This window comes from Homo sapiens, chromosome 5, assembly GCF_000001405.40.
Source record: "Homo sapiens chromosome 5, GRCh38.p14 Primary Assembly".
Lineage (NCBI taxonomy): Eukaryota > Metazoa > Chordata > Mammalia > Primates > Hominidae > Homo > Homo sapiens.
The window spans coordinates 4,858,297-4,876,875 of record NC_000005.10 but is presented as its reverse complement, the minus strand read 5'-3'; the positions used below and the strand labels follow the sequence as shown (position 1 = coordinate 4,876,875).

Here is an 18,579-nt window from a genome sequence, read left to right as displayed (position 1 = left end):
AGCCTAACTCACGACTGTCGTCTGTCCCCTCCACAAGTTCATGAGGTCCTCCTGACAGGGAGGCTGAGCCACAGGGAGCTTCAGTCACTTGTCCCAGGTCACTCAGATGACTAACGACAGAGCTGGTGGCCTGACTTCCACCCGCGGCCTTAGGGACACACTGCACTGCCTCTCACTTAATCTTAGCTGTCAGTATGATGATCTGATGATCCTCTGTGACTGGGACAGGCTTGTTACCTTTATCGGCATCACATTTTCCCTTCTGAAGGGAAGGCAGCTCTTTTCCTCTGCAGAGGTGCTTCTGGGCTGAACTCGGGTGACTGTGAAGTGTCTCCTGCTGCCCTCGGGATAGGCCTTCATGCATTCCAATGGCTCCATTTTTTTTTTTTTTTTGTCTAATCTCTCAGCAGCTCAGATCGCCACTTCCTGATGTCTTCCACAGCTCCCGCTGTACTAGGAGCCTCTTCATTTACACCTCGTGTCCGATTGAGGGTCAGATGCTGAGTAATCTTGAGAAAGGTCGAGCTTGCAGGGATGAGGACGGGGCCTAGAGGATGACTCTGCTCTCAGAGCTGGGGTGGGTGGGAGACTGGATGCTCAATGCTCAATGATCTGGGAGCCCTGAGCACCCTCAGAGTAGCTCACAGGGAGGTCTAGCATAGTTGCTTTCCTTGCTGACAGAGCCCTCAATTCTTCTTGCAGCTTCACTCTCATGAGGGCCCTGGCCGAGAAGATGTCTCACATGGAAAAGCCTGCACTGAGCACCTGATACCTGACAGGTCTTCTGCTTGGTGCTAAAGGGGCAGAGCCAGGTACATATGAGGTGGCTGGTGGCCAGTCCATGGGGGAGTGCTATCTCCTGGGAGCTGGACAGTGGCAGCTCACTTCAGCACACGGAGGCACATGAGCGATTGGCTCAGATACTGGGGACTGGGGCCATGGCTCCCAGCTGAGCCCCATCCATGGTGGCTTGGAACTGTCATCTGCTCCTCCATCTACCCCTGAATGTGAGAAAGCAAGAATTATGGGAATCTGGGGTTTGGACCATTATCCTTCCATTTCAATATGATGGACAGGACAGTAGAATTAGGGAAGAATCATGTAATTTACTTAAAGTTTCCCTGATCTCTGATATAGTTTGGATGTGTGTTCCCTGCCCAAATCTCATTTTGAAACATAATCCCCAGTGTTGGAGGTGGGGCCTGGTGGGAGGTGATTGGATCATGGGGGTGGATTTCTCATGAATGGTTGGGCACCATGCCTTTGGTGCTGTACTGGCAAGAGCGAGTTCTCACAAAGTCTAGTTGTTTAAAGCGTGTGGCACCTTGCTCTGTCTCTCTTCCTCCTGCTTTTGCCACGTGACATGCAAGCTCCCTCTTCACCTTCCACCATGATTGTGGCTTCCTGAGGCTTCCCCAGAAGCAGAAGCCAGTGCTGTGTTTCCTGTTCAGCCTGCAGAACCATGAGCCAATTACACCTTTTTTTAAAATAAATTACCCAGTCTCAAGTATTTCTTTATAGGGATGTGAGAATGGACTAAGCTCTCCTTTCAGAGACGTTGAGAATTACGGTAGCAGAAGCCCAGGAGAAACCGCTTGTCCTAACATGCGGGAATGCTGTTGATGGAGATACACCCACACTTGTCTGTGGTGTGGCTGAGGATTGAAGCCACCACACACCCTGGATGCACCAGGTCAAATAGGAGACCCAGACGCCCTCATCGTAGAGTATAAGCTCATTGATCAAATAGCAAAATGTCATGGGATGGCTTTAATAACTGTTGCTGGTCCTTGGCCAGTTCTCCCATGGAGAGATGCGGTCAATTTCCTCTCCCCTTGAATCTGGGTGGGCTTGTGTTTCCTTCCAAGAGAGTGAGGCAGAAGTGATGCCATGTGACTTCTGAGATGAGATCGTTAGAGGGATTCTCCTCCTGCCTGGCTCTCAGGACACTCACAGGACCCCAGAGAAGCCCATGCCACCTGGAGAGGCCAGGACTTTGAGAGCCCAGTTGAGCTCAGCACCTAAGTCTGGCAGTCCCAGTATCAGATGCATGGGAGAAGGAGTGTGTGGAAGCCCCCAGCCACGTGCATCTTCCTAGCTGAGGCCTCAGACATTGGGATCAGAGATAAGCCAGCCTCCCCACCTTGCCAACTTCCTGGCCAGTGGAATCCAAGAGCATAATGATGTGGTGGGTCTTTAATGGTGCACATGTGTAGAAGCTCCTTATGTAATGATCAGTGATCAATAACCAGAACAGGACAGGATATTCCACCACACAGCAGTGCCCAGGTGCTGCACAGAGTACGGTTGGGACTTACTACATTTGAACCAGACTTTAGGATACCTGGAAGCTCAAGTCAGCAATCTTTAGGATTCTTGCAAATACGTGAAGAATAATATCTGGGTAAAAAGGACACAATATGACATTGAATAATCTTATTAATGACGTGCTCACAGAGCCCTCTCCCTGCATCTCTACCCAAACAAAGGAAGTCACACTGACAGGACCGGAGGGAGAGCCCAGGGCACCACCTAGTAGAGTTGCCGTCAGGAGCATGTGCAGGGTGCCAAGTGATGGGTCCAGGAAGGCACACTGGGCTCGGCCACCGGGGTCGCTTTCCCAGGATGTCGCAAGAACAGGGCGATGGGGACCTGCAAGGTGGAGTGCAGGAGGACACAGAGTTGGATGTTTGTCTGCAGAAGCGCTGTTTCCCTTATCCCCTCCACAAGGTGAGGAGAGAAGAAGGAAGATCACTCTTGCATATTTATATTTATTTTTGTTTAACAGGAACTTACAGAGACCAGGCGCAGGGGCTCATGCCTGTAATCCCACCCCTTTGGGAGGCTGAAGCTGAAGGATCACTTGAGGCCGGGAGTTTGAGACCAGCCTGGGCGATATAGGGAGACACGATCTCTACAAAAAACTTTTTAAAATTAGCCAAACATGATGGCTCAGACCTGTGGTTTCAGCTCCTAGGGACGCTGAGGTCGGAGAATCCCTTGAGCCTGGGAGTCTGAGGCTACCGTGATTATGCTGCTGCATTCCAGCCTGGGCAACAGAGCAAGACCGTTGAAAACCAAACAAAACCAAAAACCCAGGAACTTACAGAGTGCTCGCTCTTTGTCTTCAGATGCTGATTTAATTTTCTCAACAATCCCAAAGCAGAAGGCTCCTTGATCTACAGACAGCCCCTGCTTTTCTGGACTCAAATGTGTTTCAGCTTTCACACCAGAGATTCGGGCTTAGTTAGCACTTTGCCAAATTAACTCATCTAGAAGGAGCAGTAAGCCAAAAATGACTCTGCTTTTCAGTAGAAATACGCCTGAGACTTAAAACTTGCATTTGCGAATTGTTCTTCTCCCTGTGACGTGGCAATGATCATTTGTAGCTGCATTCCCCATGTGACTATGTGAATTACATGCACAGCCTAGAAGCTTCACACCTCAATCCTGGGGCATAGTTAGAGCAAGGGTGCTTCAGGGTTAGACTGATATCCTGCTGTGTAGGTAAGACTTGATGAACACTGAATAAGGGCCTGTTCTCATCTCTACAGATGATTTACACAGTGGCTCAGAGAGAAATACGGCCTCTGGGACCCTCATGCACACGTGAGATGCAAATCCCACCTTTTATTATTAGTGTGCATAGACTTCTTTATTGTCAGTTGTATCCATTCTCATTCAAGTTCAACTTCAGTGCAGTTCTCCGGGTTGAGGGATCGGGTGCATGAGGCTGTGACCTTGGTAGGTCCATGCATCTTCTGGAGCAGCGGACAATGATTTGGGTTGGAGAGCAATGACAACTCCAAGAGGGCAGCAGGGCAGCAGGGAGACTAGAGTGCCTTCTACCCCATCCCAAACTCACTTTAATAGTACGCCGGACAAAGGGGGCTTTTATAGTTATATTTACACAGAAGCACCAGGGATGTTTGTCTCCACATTTTATCATTTTCTTAATTCCTCAACTCTCAAGACCCCTTTTCTAAAGATCCTCATAAACACTGATATTTATACTGTAATAAATACAGGAAATTTTTAGTATGACTCTACAAACTTCATATGTAATTCATTTTAGGGAATTTTACACATTTATTTTCTATTTCTCAAATTCGTAAACATTTATTTTATGTTTATATTCTTTCTTTCCTTAATAATAGCCAGTGTGCAAAGTGCTCTTAAGGATACATATCTTGTCTTTAGAAAGGCAATTACCCAGTGGGAAAGTCAGTGCAGACGAGCAAATGTTTATAAGGAGGTATATTTCTAAAGAGGTAGCTGACAATTAAAGTATGTTTATTTTAGAACACTATACTCTACACTCTAAGAAATGCATCTGATAAACTGATTTCCCTGACGGAATAGTGACAGGAATTATTCTCATGGACAAATCATGATCTGGATTCAAAACCATGTCTCAGGGAGAAATGTTAAAGGCACCACGTCCAGTAATTCCAGTTCTTCCCCTTTCTGCTGGACATGCCTTCAAATGCTTGAAGGCTGCCGATACCTCCCTAGACTCACGTCCAGGTTTGAGTGTGATGTACGCATAGATGTGGTTGCTGGCCATGACATTAATTTTTTGCTAGGAATCCTCAGACAGGTGTGATGAGAGGCCTGGAGGATTCCAGCATCACAGCTGGTGAGGTACATAAGTCCCAGATGGCTCACACTTGCTGTACGGAGATGATAACCAAATCCTCCTGGTTCACATTTCCAGGCTCAAATCAGGAAAACCCACCTGTCTCCAGGCTAAATCTCTAGTCAACTGACTTCCAAACATGGGTGAAGGATTCTGTTCCCCATCAGAAGCAAGCTGAGCTCAGGCTAATTGGATGGCTCCTGAACATAGGGCCGTGGGGCTGGGTGGTGGGGCCAGGCCTTTGGAGCCTCCTGGGTGCTGCAACCTGTGGGGAGGCAGCGTCATCTGGGCTCTGCATCTTTCCCCAGGGGGCTCCCTGGCCTGTGCTGGTTTCTGTCTTCCTTATCTCTGCTCCCTCTTCGGCTTCTCTAAGGGGTCCCCTGTCACTGCTTCTTTATGACGGAGCCCTCTCTTCCTCCGTTTCTTCATGACAGAGCCCCCTCTTCCTCAGCTTCCCTTCCTTCCTGTGAAAGCTTCTCCACCTTCTTCTTCGCTAGTAGCAAAAGTGAGAGATGACTAGCAAGACACGGCTGGGACCCTACAGCTTCATTCTGGGCTTTGGGAATTCTGTTCAAAATTTGCCAAATTCATGAGTTGTTTTAGATGAAAAATCAAGCTAACTAAAACTTTAAAATTTAGAAATTTATCATCAGGTCTGTTCCATTTGCACTTTATTTTTTTTTAAAGCTCTTTAATTCCATTTTCACTTAAGAAAAATTCAGAATTGTCTTCTCTGCTATATTGTCGCCTTTTGCCCTCGTTGGTCTCCTCTCATTTCTCTCCTATGCCAGGACACTCGCGATTTGGAAATCCAAATCTACTGAATTTTGCCGAAGGATTGAAACACATTGTCCACATGATATTCTTTTAAAAATGTCGCTGCATTTGAACCATCACCCTCCCCACCTGTGAATACACAGTTATACTCACATGTAGTTGTTTTGCTGATTGGAAGAACTATTTGAGAGTAAATCACAGGTGTCATAATCTTTCACTCCTTTGATCTTTAGCATGTATCTCACGAAAAAGAGAGTATTCTCTCAAATTACCTAAGTGCCTTTATTAGTCTCAGAAAATTCAACATCAATACAAAGCTAATATCTAATACACAATCTATATTCGAGTTTTATGGCATCTTTATGGTAATTTTTTTCACACATGGCATTGAGTTGCCATGTTCTTTAGTCTCCTTTATTCTGTAATGTTCTCTAGCCATTGTTTATTTTTCACCATATTGGTGTTTTTGAAGAGTGCCAGAATTTGTAGACTATTTTTCAATTTGAGTTTATCTGCATCATATAATTCTTTTAAAAGCCAATTCCTATTAAGCATTTCATATAGAATTAAATTTATGGTATAGTATTTGTAGCTGGCATCTCTTGGTACCCAGAAGTACATGTATCAGTTAGTTCTCACACTGCTATAAAAAGCTGCCTGAGACTGTGTAATTTATAAAGAAAAGAGGGTTAATTGACTCATGGTTCCGCATGGCTGGAGAGGCCTCAGGAAACTTACAATTATGGCAGAAGGTGAAGGGGAAGCAAAGACCTCGTTCACATGGCAGCAAGAAAGAGAGAGCGAGGAAGAGCAGAGAAAACTGCCTTATAAAGCCATCACATCTCGTGAGAAGTCACTCACTATCATAAGAACAGCATGGGGTACACCACCCCCATGATTCAATCACCTCCCACCTGGTCCCACCCTTGACAGGTGGGGATTATGGAGATCACAATTCAGTATAAGATTTGGCTGGGAACACAGAGCCAAACCATATCAGTGCCTTTAGGTTTAAACGTGGTCCTCTCCGCGCAGGTCCTGTGCTTTGTTCAGCATCCTTTGGTGTCTGTCCTCTCCAGAGAGGGAGATGGGTGCTGCTATTGAAGGCCAGGATACCAGTGCTAACAATCTAGGTGGGGACAAGTCACAGTGGGCTCCCTCCCTGACTCCACTGGAGTGAAGGAGAAGCTGTGGGCCAGTGTCCACTGCAGGAAGATGCAGCCTGGCCCACAGGGAGCTTTGGCAGAGACAGTCCCCGGCATCCTGGCCTCCATGGTCCTGAGGGCTTTCATGGAGTAGCTGACTTTGCACATGAGTTGGTGGATCCTCCACTGCTTCAATGTTCAGCCACTAAACGAAGCTTCAGATGGAGACCCCAAGGCACAAAGGCACACATCGCTTCCCTGCACGTGGCTTCTCTTTTGCCAGACGCTGTATTGTTCACACTGGTGTGCCCGTTGGTTACTCTAGGTGGGTCGGAGATTTTTCCACATGAACTTGCTCCCAGGAAGAGTGGCACAAGAGTGGCACAAGAAAGGCAAGCCTTAGACCCAGTCCTGCCAAGCACGCACCCATTTCTTGGTAAGGAGGCACAGCACTTCCCTGCATCTGTCCTGAAGCTCAGGAGAACCCCCATCCTATGTGTCCAGGCAGTCTGTCTAGTATTTAGCAGGACAGGGCTGGCACAAAATGCCCTGAGGCAGAATGCAGGGCCCTCCAAGCAACCGGGGAGACCCAGGTCCATGAGGGTTTCAGAGCCCGAATGCAGTGTCGGACACATTAAGTGCACAGATTGCTGGGTTCTCATGCCTCATGTGAGTTAGGGGGCTCTGGAAGTCTAGACCAGTCCCGACAATTATGTTAGATAACTCAGCAGTAAATAACAAGGAGTTAAATTGCATCGTCCTAGTTGTCAGGAGAGAGGCGGTCAGTGAAGGCTGAGGATTTGGGGAGAGCCGCTTCTTCCCAGACCTGCGTCTCCTCCAGGGTACTGACCCTGCAGGCTATATTCTGACCCACTCCTGCTGTGGCTCTCACCAGCCTTGCTCTTCCTGCTTTTCTCTTGTTCTGCCTTTCTGTGCTTCACCCACTGGTTGGGGATTTGTGGAAGCACCTTTCTAGAACCACAGAACAATGGTTCTTTGTTCTTTCTAGAAGAAACGTTCTAGAAATGGTTAAGTGTTCTTCCTAGAACACAGATCTTTCTAGAACAATGGTGCTCACAGGGCCGGAGTTCTGAGCCCTACACGAGGCCATTTTGCCCAGCACTTATGAATTTGCACTGGGAAAACCAACTACACATCTGTGGATGCAACCCTGTACATCCTGGTCCAAAAAAGATGATTAAAAAGGTTTTTTTTTTTTTTTCCAATAAAATCTTATTAGGGAATCTAAATAAATCTAATTAGAGAACAAAAGAGAATCAAATCTGATTAGGGGATAAAAGAGAATAACCCATTTGGAGATTTTTAAAAAGTAGTGATAAAAGAAAAACTTCAGCCAAATTAAATTTAAAGGTGTTTGAATAAGGAACAATTCATGAATCAGGCAGCATTTTGAGTCAGGGTTGGCTCAGAGACTCCAGTGCAGCCGTGTGGTGGAAGATTTATGGACAGAAAAGGGAATCGAAGTATAGAAACAGCTAGATTGGTTGCAACTTGGTGTTGGCCTTATTAGAACAAGGTTCAAAGAGTTGGCTACATTTGATTGGCCAAATTCAGTGTATGGGCTACAGTCTGTTTACACAGTTATAGTTTCTAATGTACCAAAAAACCTTTAGGCGAAATTGAAAATATGTAAGAAGGCAGCTTTAAGCTAAACTTGATTTGACAGTAGTGAGGAGAAAATTATCAGAAGTAAAAATTGCTATCCTGGCCAACAAGAGTGAAACTCCGTCTCAAAAAAAAAAAAAAAATGCCCAACAATTTTTTTTAAAGATATTAAACTGGTTTGGATAAAACCCTTTTCAACACTGGCTGCTCCGCCCCCTCTCCTCCCGCCATCTGAATAAGGTCTTGACTAAATTCCCTGACTGCTTTTCGCCTTTTATTACAGAGGCTGGGAAGTGGCCTTTTCATTTGGTACCGTTTTTGGACCACAGAGTCTTTCTCAGCTCATCAGTGCCCCCTGGTGGTATGCAGGGTGAGGGGACAATAACGAGTCCCATTGTTCACCGGCTGGTGACTGAAGGACATTTTCTCAGAAGCCCTGCACCTCCTCCCCTGTGACTCAGGTACACCTTTAATATTTTCTTGATGACGATATTTATTGATAGATTGTACTAAGTTAACAGCATCAAGCTCAAAAGAAGCACAGTTAAAAACCAAAGCCATTTCCCCACCCTCTTAGGGTCCATTTATTGAGGCCCTAATATGTGTTAGAGACTTTCCTGGATTTACTTTTCTGATTTTTATTACATTATATTTTCAATTGTGTGGAATGGACTACATAAGATACAAATTGTATTTGTATCTATTCAAAGCAGGCACTGTGAATAAAAGGTGCTTCCAGGAATTCCCGGTAGAAGAGGGAGTGCAGAACGGGAGAGCCAGGGCAAAGCAGGAGGAGCGCAGCCCTGGCAGGAACAGGTCAGCATGCAGTTTGGATCAATAGGGAAACACCACGTCTCTTCGTGTGCACAGGCTTCTAAACTTCATGGGATTGTTTTCAGCATCACATGAGACCCTGAGTAAAAGGCTCACTGAGCCTGGGGTATCGTGAACGCCGCACACATGGTTGTTATTATTCACTTGGCAATGCCCTGGTCTTCCTGTTCCCTAGCACTTCCGCAGTGGCATGGAAAGGAGAGCATAGGAAGCCTCTTTCCAACCGGCTGGGGGCTCCGTTGTGGCCTCCGCCACCCTAGGGCCAGGCTCCCAGTGTTCCAGCTTTTTGATGTCCCGGCTATTTCAATTATACCCACTCATTCAGGGAGTCCCATAAGTACCCAGGTACATTAATTTTCTTCAAAGTGCATCTGCAATGCATGGTTGGCTGACACGCTGACAGCCCCATCGCCAGCCAGGAGCCGTGGCAGAAGCAGCCCCACAGTCAGACCGGTGAGGTTAGGCTGGGAGTTGCTTGGACGCTCACTAGTGCTTCACCATGAGATTCTTCCCTGGAACAACTGGTGTGTGTTCTTGGCTGAACTCGGGTCCATTAGACGTTGACTTCACATTGACCTAAGAAGTTAAAGGAAAAGGGTCTCTGGCTGACGGGGGCGGGAGGGGGTGGGGTGGTGGGAACCGGCCACGCCGGGAAAGGTGCAGTAGGCGCACACAATTGACTGAAGAGGACAGCTGAGACTTATACGGAGGATTCCACCTACGTCTCCAGCCAGCCTTACGGTTCTCCCACTGCTGCTCAACACTAAGGGCCCTGGGAGAGCGGGTGCGGGCGGCTGAGCTCTGCCCGCATCCCACCTCTCACGCAGCCGCGGAGTGGACTCGGCCTGGGAACCCTTGTAATCCAATTGCGGGAGGAGGTGCCAGGAATGACCCCTCCACCGTGGGCTGTGGGCGTGGTGGGAGGATCATTTCACCCCAGGACAAGGGTGAGCCCTTAGGAAGCTGGAATAGATACTTCGAAGCCCGAGATGACCACTGTCCACGGCAGCCTCAGTCCCTTTCTCCCAGAACATCATTTAGCTGTTGAGCTAAATCATCCACTTGGCCCCTTACAGCCTCGACCTCGTCACAATGAAGTAGATGAGGCCACAGAAGCCTTTGTTATCTCCACGAGCAGCTGGAGCCCGGCTTTGGCTGAGCCCTGGCAATGCCTGCTACACCCCAGACCAAGGTGATACGTGGGTGGCTGCTGCGATCGGAATGTTTACACCCCCCCACCGCCATATTCATCTGTTGAAATCCTCACCCGCAAGGTGATGGGGCTAGGAGGCAGGACCTCCGGAAGGTGAAAAGGTCATGAGGGCAGAACCCTCGTACGCGGAAGGTCATGAGGGCGTAACCCTCGTACGCGGAAGGTCATGAGGGCGTAACCCTCGTACGCGGAAGGTCATGAGGGCGTAACCCTCGTACGCGGAAGGTCATGAGGGCCTGACCCTCGTACGCGGAAGGCCATGAGGGCGGGACCCTGGTACGCGGAAGGCCATGAGGGCGGGAACCCTCGTACGCGGAAGTTCATGAGGGCGGGACCCTCGTACGCGGAAGGTCATGAGGGCGGGACCCTCGTACGCGGAAGTTCATGCGGGCGGGACCCTCGTACGTGGAAGGTCATGAGGGCGGGACCCTCGTACGTGGAAGGTCATGAGGGCGGAACCCTGGTACATGAAATTCGTTCTCTTATTTAAGAGACAAAGAACGCCCTTGTTTTTTCCACCACGTGATGGCGCAGACAGAAGACAACCAGCATCTATGAACCAGGAAGCCCCCACCAGGCACTGAATCTGCCCCTGCGTGGATCTTAGACTTGCAGACTCCAGAACTGTGAGCAATGAATTTTGTTGTTTATAAACCACCCAGTTTTTGGTATTTCGTTATGGCAACCGTAATGAACTAAGACAGTAATTTATTTCCCCAAACCTTTCCAGCTAACATGGGCTTTCGAGCGGATTTTCAGAACATAGAACTTGCTGGTTTACTCCCTATTACCCGGGTACCTACTGACAGCAGGCACAGCATGGAAGCCAGTGCTACCATTTAACTACGAATAAGCTGATCTCAAGTTTACAGGCTGGGAGTAAAGTCAACCTTAATCAAGTAATCATTCTAGCAGGGTTATAATTACAAACGCAGAATCCACATTCTTCTGAAAGTAGCACAGTTTCACGAGGGATCATGGCAGGAATCAGATCTGAGAATAAACCTGGCCAAGAAGTCAGAGTCACAGGGGTTTTGTGACAGATTATTTTGTCACTCAGGTATTAAGCCTAGTACCCAGTGGTTATTTTTTTCTCTTCTCCCACCCGCCACCCTCGAGGAAGCCCCAATGTCTGTTGTTCTCTTCTTTGTGTCCATGTGTTCTCGTCATTTAGCTCCCACTTATAAGTAAGAGCATGCAATATTTGGTTTCTGTTCCTGGGTTAGTTTGCTTTGGATAATGTCCTCCACCTCCACCCATGTTCCTGCAAAGGACATAATCTCATTCTTTTTTTTATGGCTGTGTAGTATTCCATGGTATATATGTACCACATTTCCTTTATTCTCTCTGTCATTGATGGGCGTTTAGGTTGATTCCATGTCTCTACTATTGTGAAGAGTGCTGCAGTGAACATTCATGTCTATTTGTCATTATGGTAGAATGATTTTTATTCCTCTGGATATATGCTCCATAATTGGATTGCTGAGTTGAAAGGCATTTCTGCTTTTAGCTCTTTGAGAAATGGCCATACTGCTTTTCACAATGGTTGAACTAATTTACACTTCCATCAACAGTATATAAGTGTTCCCTTTTCTCCACAACCTCACCAGCATCTGTTGTTTTTTCACTTTTTAATAATATCCATTCTGACTTCTGTGAGATGGTATCTCATTGTGGTTTTGATTTGCATTTCTCTAATAATCAGTGACACCGAGTATTTTTTTTTCATATGCTTTTTGGCTGCATGTCTGTATTCATTTGTAAAGTGTCTGTTCATGTTCTTTGCCTACTTTTTAATGGGTCTGTTTGTTTTATTCCTGTAAATTTGTTTAAGTTCCTTATAGATGCTGGATATTAGACCTTTTCAGATGCATCGTTTGCCAAAATTTTCTCCCATTCTGTAGGTTGTCTGTTTACTTTATTAATAGTTTCCTTTGCTATACAGGAGATCTTTTAGTTTTAATAGATCTTATTTGTCAATTTTTGCTTTTGATGACACTCTCGTGTATGGTTGAAGTGAGTAGAAATTATCACAGCCTTCAGGAGGATTGTTTGTTATTAACTTTCAAAAATTAAAAAGTACACATGCTTTTGCTGCAGTGTCATGTCAGGAAATTTTCTTCATAGATGCTCACTCACGTAACCTAGTATCTGCAATATATATACTGATATGGTTTGAATGTGTGTCCCTGCTCAAATCTCATGTCGAATTGGAGGAGGGTCCTGGTGGGAGGTGATTGGATCTTGGGGGTTGATTTCCCCCTTGCTGTTCTTGTGATAGTGAGAGAGTTCCCATGAGATCTGATGGTTTAACAGTGTGTGGCACTTGCCCCTCACTCTCTCTCTTCTGCTGCCATGTAAAGAAGGTGCTTGCTTTCTGTTTGACTTCTGCCAAGATTGTAAGTTTTTGAGGTCTCCTAGTCATGCTTCCTGTTAAGCCCACAGAACTGTGAGTCAATTAAACTTATTTTCTTCATAAATTACCCAGTCTCAGGTAGTTCTTTATAGCAGTGTGAGAACGAACTAATATAGAAAATTGTCAGAAGAGTGGGGGACTTTGGAGCTGAGTAATGGGCAGAGGTTGGAACAGCTTGCAAGGCTTGGAAGAAGACAAGAAAATGTGGGAAAGTTTGGAACTTCCTAGAGACACGTTGAATGGTTTTGACCAAAATGCTGATAGTTACATGCACAATGTGTGTGTGTGCACGTCTGTGCATGTGTGTGCATGCATGCATGTGAATGTGTACCTGCACGTGAGCTAGTAGAATCATCATGGGCCTGCAGAAGAGGCGGTTTCAGTGATCAGCCACATCTGCGTTTCAATTCAAGATCAGCCCCTTCTAACCAGCCCACCTGTGTCTTTGAGCGTCCTGCATGGTTAGTGGTGATGAGGGCCCGACCCGGCAGGATTGTAGAGCATCCCTGCAGAGAGCAGCTGCAGAGCTCCCGGCTCACCCCTGGCACCATCGCATGGGATTGTTGCACTGGGCTTCGAATTTTCTCAATCATAATGCAACACTAATTTTGCATTTCTAACTTTGCATTGGTATTAGTTTCCCAGGGCTGGCATTGCCAAGTATCACAAATTTGGTGGTTTAGAACAACAGAAGTGTATTATCTCACAGTTCTAAAGGCCAGAAGTCCAAAATCAAGATGGCAGCAGGTTCCTTCTGAGGCTGTGAGGGAGAATCTGCTCCGGGCCCCTCCCCTCTCCTTGGGGTTCGCTGGCAATCCTTGCTGTTCCTTGGTTTGTAGGCACATCTCCTCAGTCCTCGGCCTTCCATGGTGTTCTCCCTATGTGCTTCTCTGTGTGTCTCTGTGTTTAAATATCCGCTTTTTGTAAAGACACCAGACATATCAGATTAGGGCCCATGCTACTACAGTATGATCTCATCTGAAGTAATGACACCTGCAACGAACCTGCTTCAAAATAAGGTCACATTCTGAGGTACTGGGGGTTAGAACTTCAATATATGCATTTTTAAGGGGACACAATTAAATCCAGTGCTACATTATATTAGTTACAACATCCAGCTTAATATCAGACACTGGAAAATTTATCTTTATATCAAAAATTGGAGATGTAAGCTTGGATCTACTGGTTTTGTAATACAAATCTATCTCAGTATCTATCCATCTATCTATCATCTATCTAACTGTCTATCATCTATCTTTCTATCTGTCGATTATCATCATCATCCACCTATCTTCTATCTGGGAAGACTTTTTAATTAGATATGTTATAATTCACTAAGCAATCACTTTTCCAAGGACCCTGTAGAAAGCATACATTCATGATTATATGGTTAAAGTTATAAGGCTATCAACAATTTGTTCTTTTAAATAGAAAAATAAATTTAACCTGTGTTTGTATTACTGTCTTAAGAACAGCAGAGGGCACTCCAAGCTAAACTTTGGAATGTGCTACTGTTGATTTTTAAAGAAGTTTTAAATTGAGAACAAGCACAAATCAATTAGAGCTCCATCTGTGTGCATTAGGTGTGTCTGCAGTTTCTTCCAAAATAAATAAAGGATTATGTCTCTTAACATATACACAAATTAAACACACAGTACGTGTTCAACTTAAAAAAATATCTCCAGGGTCCTCTTTTTGAAATAATTTTACATTTAACAATTCTTTAAATAGAAATTTCCTGGATTGTTAGAAGGAAACAAGGTGTAACATTTTTCAAAGATATTGGCTAAGCTTTTTGAAACAATTTACTCTCATTCAGAGATAAAGTATTTTGAGTGATTGCTATTACTTTCACATAATTGATTTAATTCATTTATAATTTCATTTGAATAACTCATAAGGAAATGCCAGAAGAGATTAAATAATTATGAGTATAATTTCTATCACATGGACCCTCTGTATTCTCAAATAAATGGGAATAAAGGGTTATCTAGAAAACAGTTTCTTTAAATATTTTTTGGTTTCCTTATATATAAGACAGTCTCAATTTCCTAAAATACTCAAGATGAGAATGTATCATCTCAGAGACTGCCTGTGTAGAACTTTATATTGTATTCACAGTGTTCTTAACAAGGAGATCTCCAAGAATGTTGCTAATCTAAAAGCCTACTTGGGATCCGATAAAGGGATTTTATTTGCTGGTTATTTTCTCACTTAGATCAACTACTGAATATGAATTGACCAGTTGACAGCTATCTAGAAAACAGATAAACTTATCTAATACTGTTTTTAAGTCAATTTATAAATTTAAATTAGCTGTCTCCTAGAAGTAACTAAAATAGTCGAAGAGAGAACATCCTTCTAAACTTGGTAAATCATTTGTAAATTAAATTTTTTAACATGACTGAAACCTTTATGTTACTAAAATTTCTTTCTTTCTCCAAACTGTTGAGTAAAAATCAGACTGTATTTTCTGACAGTATTTGATGTGGCAGGTGGGGGTAGGTGTATGAAAACACTCTTTTCTCTTTTAGGGAGTAAAGCTGAGTGTAAAGTCAAGTAAGTTGTCTTTCTTTCTTTCTTTCTTTCTTTTTCCTTCTTTTTTTTTTTAGATGGAGTTTCGCTCTTGTTGCTGAGTCTGGAGTGCAATGGCGTGATCTTGGCTCACTGCAACCTCTGCCCCCCAGGTTCAAGCAATTCTCCTGCCTCAGCCTCCCTAGTAGCTGGGATTACAGGCATGTGCCACCACGTCCAGCTAATTTTTTTATATTTTTAGTAGAGACAGGGTTTCTCCATGTTGGTCAGGCTGATCTTGAACTCCTGACCTCAGGTGATCTGCCCGCCTCAGCCTCCCAAAGTGCTGGGATTACAGGCATGAGCCACCGTGCCTGGCAAAAGTATTTCTTCATAGCCTCCAACAGCTACCTTTTACAGATTCAGAGATAGAAGCCTATTTTGCTACTTCAGATTTATTTAAAAAATAAAGATACAATGTTATAAATCATAAACTGTTATTACTAGAAGGAGAGATGAGCTAGAAAGGGGTTAAGGGATGTCAAAATGTCACCGTGGAAAATGGTCGTCTGTTTTAGACATCTAGTTCAGATAACGACTCTATACTTTTCAAGATGCTGAAACCAGGTTTGTGAGTTAGTGATGACCTTTCACCTATTGCTTCTCCTGTCTGTATTACCTTCTCATCTTTAAAATAAAGTCTGCACAGGCCATGCCAGACAGGGTGACCATTTTTCCCACTGCCCTGTTGATGGAGAAGACCTAGACTGCCTCATTTTATTCCAAGACTAACGCTCCAGTCTCCTTTGTTGATTGGAAGAGATTCGAACCAAGGGCTGCCAGACCATGGGCTGGCCTATGTCCATGATCTGGGCTGGCAAACAAAGAGGAGATATGCCAACGTGTATCTATTTTGAGAGGCTGAACTCGAAAATACTCAGAGAAAGCAGGCAATAAAGTTATGCATAGAATGCATGTTGAGGAGGCCATGGGCCAAGAGGAATGACAAAAAGCATGCATTATCACAGTGCATGAGCACATAGAAGGCGAGAGTCTGTAAAATGAAAATAAAAATAAGACCAGCTCAAAGTCCTGCTATTAAAAGTAAATTATTGTATGTAAAATATTTCCAACCGTGCCTGGCACACCACCAGCCCGATGCACGTGGGTGCTCCCTTCCTGGTGTTGATAGCCTTCCTGTGGTGGTCATTACCTTCTCTCTCCGTCTCTGAAGGAGGGACCCTCTGCAGCACTCAATGATGCCTGTGAGGGAAGGACCCCAGGCACTCTCTGTCCACACGTTCTCGTCACCATTGCCCTTGGGTGACAGCTGACCCCTGTGGATGTCGGGGTCGCCCCAGCAGCTTCCTCCCAGGATCCTGGCAGGAAGTCAGGACGATTCTTTTCTGCTGTAAGATCCTCAGCATTACCTGGGGTGTCCTATCACGTGGCTCTCCCAAGGGTTTCTTGATAGCTGTGGATTGGTCAAGGCCAGGAACCCCTGGGGGTCCCTTTTGTACATCTTTCTGCTTTCACTCTTTAGTTTGCCTACTTCCTGGAGATGATCTGGCATGAGCTCTGATTTGTTGAAATGGGACTTACTCTGACTTTGTATTTCAAGCTCTTGTCTGCTCTAGGGCTAACATGAACCCTCCATGCTGCTAGTTCTCTGGGCTCTGACCATGGCCAAATTAGCTAAAGGATAACTAGAAGCTATTGCTCAATATAGAACACAGCTCTTATCTTTCAAGATGCATCTGCCTACACATTTGGCCATACATTTTTATATTTTGGAAGATATTTATATGTTCATTTTAAGAGTATTTTTGTTTAATCATAAATACCACACTAACATCAATTGCAATGATTTATATTAAAGTTAACATTTAATTGATTAGTTAATAAATACATATAATTGAATATTTTTATCCATGAACCTCGTTAGTTATTTGAAGCACTGCTTAATTCTCCCTGTTAATAATTTACTGAGGAATTTTACACTGATATTTGCAGTGAGGTTGTTCTGTTGGTTGTTGCGGTGATGGTCAGGGTGTGTGTGTGTGTGTGTGTGTGTGTGTGTGTCCTTGACAGGTTCTGGTATCACAATTATGTTGGTTTTATAAAAAGAATCATGATGTCTTTTGTTTCCTTGCCATAATACAGTCCACTTTAACTGGAACCTCAATTACATAATTTGTAAGGCCATATATCTTTTCATCTCCCCTTCCTGTCACTCCGGTCAGTTGTTTGTTGTATTCTCTCTTTCAGGGCTCCTAATGCTTGTTTTTATAAATGGGAATCACAGCACAGAAACATCTACAGCTTGAGTTATCATATCTGGGTCAAGGATGTTGAATCTGCTTTGACTCTGCTGAAAATTATTTTCACTCTATTCATGGTTTTAAATTAATCCTTTTAAGATTTATTTTCCAAATCTTTATGAGTTTCCTCAATGCCCCTCTGCTCACACAGTGGTTCTGGAATTGTTGACTCTTCTTATTCTGTCTTTAACTATACTCACTCCATTTTCCTTACTTTTTTCATGATTTTGAATGTAAAGTCATATCTGGATATTTTTAAAGAATTATGCAGGGAGGAACAGAGTGAGGCCTGCCCTAGGCCAGAGGAAATTTTAATTTAGGTATGTTGACTCAGGACAATTTCTCATGGAACCTGTTGCCTTCCTTGGTCTGGAACATGTCTCCACTTATTGTTCTGCATTCCAAGCTGCTTGGTGAGCTGGAGACACATGTGTAGTTTGTAAGGAGGCAGATTTCTGTGGGATCACTTGGCATTCAACCGTCATCAGTTTTGGTCAAGCTGACGCCCGTGTACATTCATTTGTCTTCCTGCACTCTTCCTGTTGGCTTTTCTGAGACATGGTGTACACGTGCAGTTACTCCTCTTGCCCACCTTTGGTTTCTTATCAAAAGTGTGACATGGCATTGGTCTTGTTCTTGAAGCTCATCTTTGCACACAACCAATGTGGATGATACCTTCCTGGGCTTAGCGATTTGAGCAGCTCTTTATTTTGCATGACAGTTGTAGAGATTCATGTCTGTGTTTCACACCCCTCTCTCTTAAAAGTTTTTTTTCTTCAATCTTCGTTTGCCATTCAGGTAGGTAGAGATGTTTCACACTTCCATCTTCAGCCTGAATCTCTCGACAGTTCTATATGCTCTGAGAAGACATGACTTTCTTGGACTGATTAGGAAGGTAGTCATGTGTGAAGTTTTAAGAAAGAAGAAAGTTTTGAATTAGCCTTTGGGAGTAGGATTTGTCAAGGGAAATATATAAGTGTTAACAGATAATATTATTGATAATTGTCCAGTTTAGAGTGGAGATCAGGAATTTTAAAGGCACCAATCTGTACAGTTCTGTGATTTTTCGGAATTGTTGGTGTTGCCTAGAGAAA

At 44.5% G+C, this 18,579-nt stretch overlaps 2 long non-coding RNA genes across 29 annotated transcripts in view, besides 3 other annotated features; one reads left to right on the top strand and one right to left on the bottom strand.

The window, feature by feature from the left end:
• Window positions 1-8,662: 8,662 nt before the first annotated feature.
• Window positions 8,663-10,366, bottom strand: LOC105374629 (uncharacterized). The gene is made up of 2 exons (NR_188249.1): window positions 10,289-10,366; window positions 8,663-9,597 (listed from the first exon to the last, which is right to left on the bottom strand). It is a non-coding gene; the product is annotated as an uncharacterized LOC105374629 (long non-coding RNA).
• Window positions 9,360-9,860: an enhancer, noted in NCBI's record as "H3K27ac hESC enhancer chr5:4867129-4867629 (GRCh37/hg19 assembly coordinates)". NCBI's record gives its function as "activates a minimal SCP1, AML or CMV promoter by ChIP-STARR-seq in naive H9 embryonic stem cells {active_cell/tissue: H9 hESC(naive)}" and the evidence as "EXISTENCE:reporter gene assay evidence [ECO:0000049][PMID:30033119]".
• Window positions 9,623-18,579, top strand: part of LOC107986400 (uncharacterized) — a 137,038-nt gene continuing 128,081 nt past the window's right edge. For 13 of the 28 annotated variants that reach the window (XR_001742563.1, XR_001742557.2, XR_001742567.2 and 10 more), the window contains exon 1: window positions 10,522-10,860. This is a non-coding gene — a long non-coding RNA (uncharacterized LOC107986400). Of the gene's footprint in view, window positions 10,296-10,400; window positions 10,861-10,964; window positions 11,134-18,579 lie in introns of those variants that run through there. The other 15 variants (XR_007059111.1, XR_007059113.1, XR_001742566.3 and 12 more) reach the window with 8 other exon arrangements.
• Window positions 9,861-10,361: an enhancer, noted in NCBI's record as "H3K27ac hESC enhancer chr5:4866628-4867128 (GRCh37/hg19 assembly coordinates)". NCBI's record gives its function as "activates a minimal SCP1, AML or CMV promoter by ChIP-STARR-seq in naive H9 embryonic stem cells {active_cell/tissue: H9 hESC(naive)}" and the evidence as "EXISTENCE:reporter gene assay evidence [ECO:0000049][PMID:30033119]".
• Window positions 15,458-15,611: a silencer, noted in NCBI's record as "fragment chr5:4861378-4861531 (GRCh37/hg19 assembly coordinates)". NCBI's record gives its function as "represses an EF-1alpha promoter that drives an FKBP-Casp9 reporter gene in an ReSE screen in HepG2 liver carcinoma cells {active_cell/tissue: HepG2}" and the evidence as "EXISTENCE:reporter gene assay evidence [ECO:0000049][PMID:32094911]".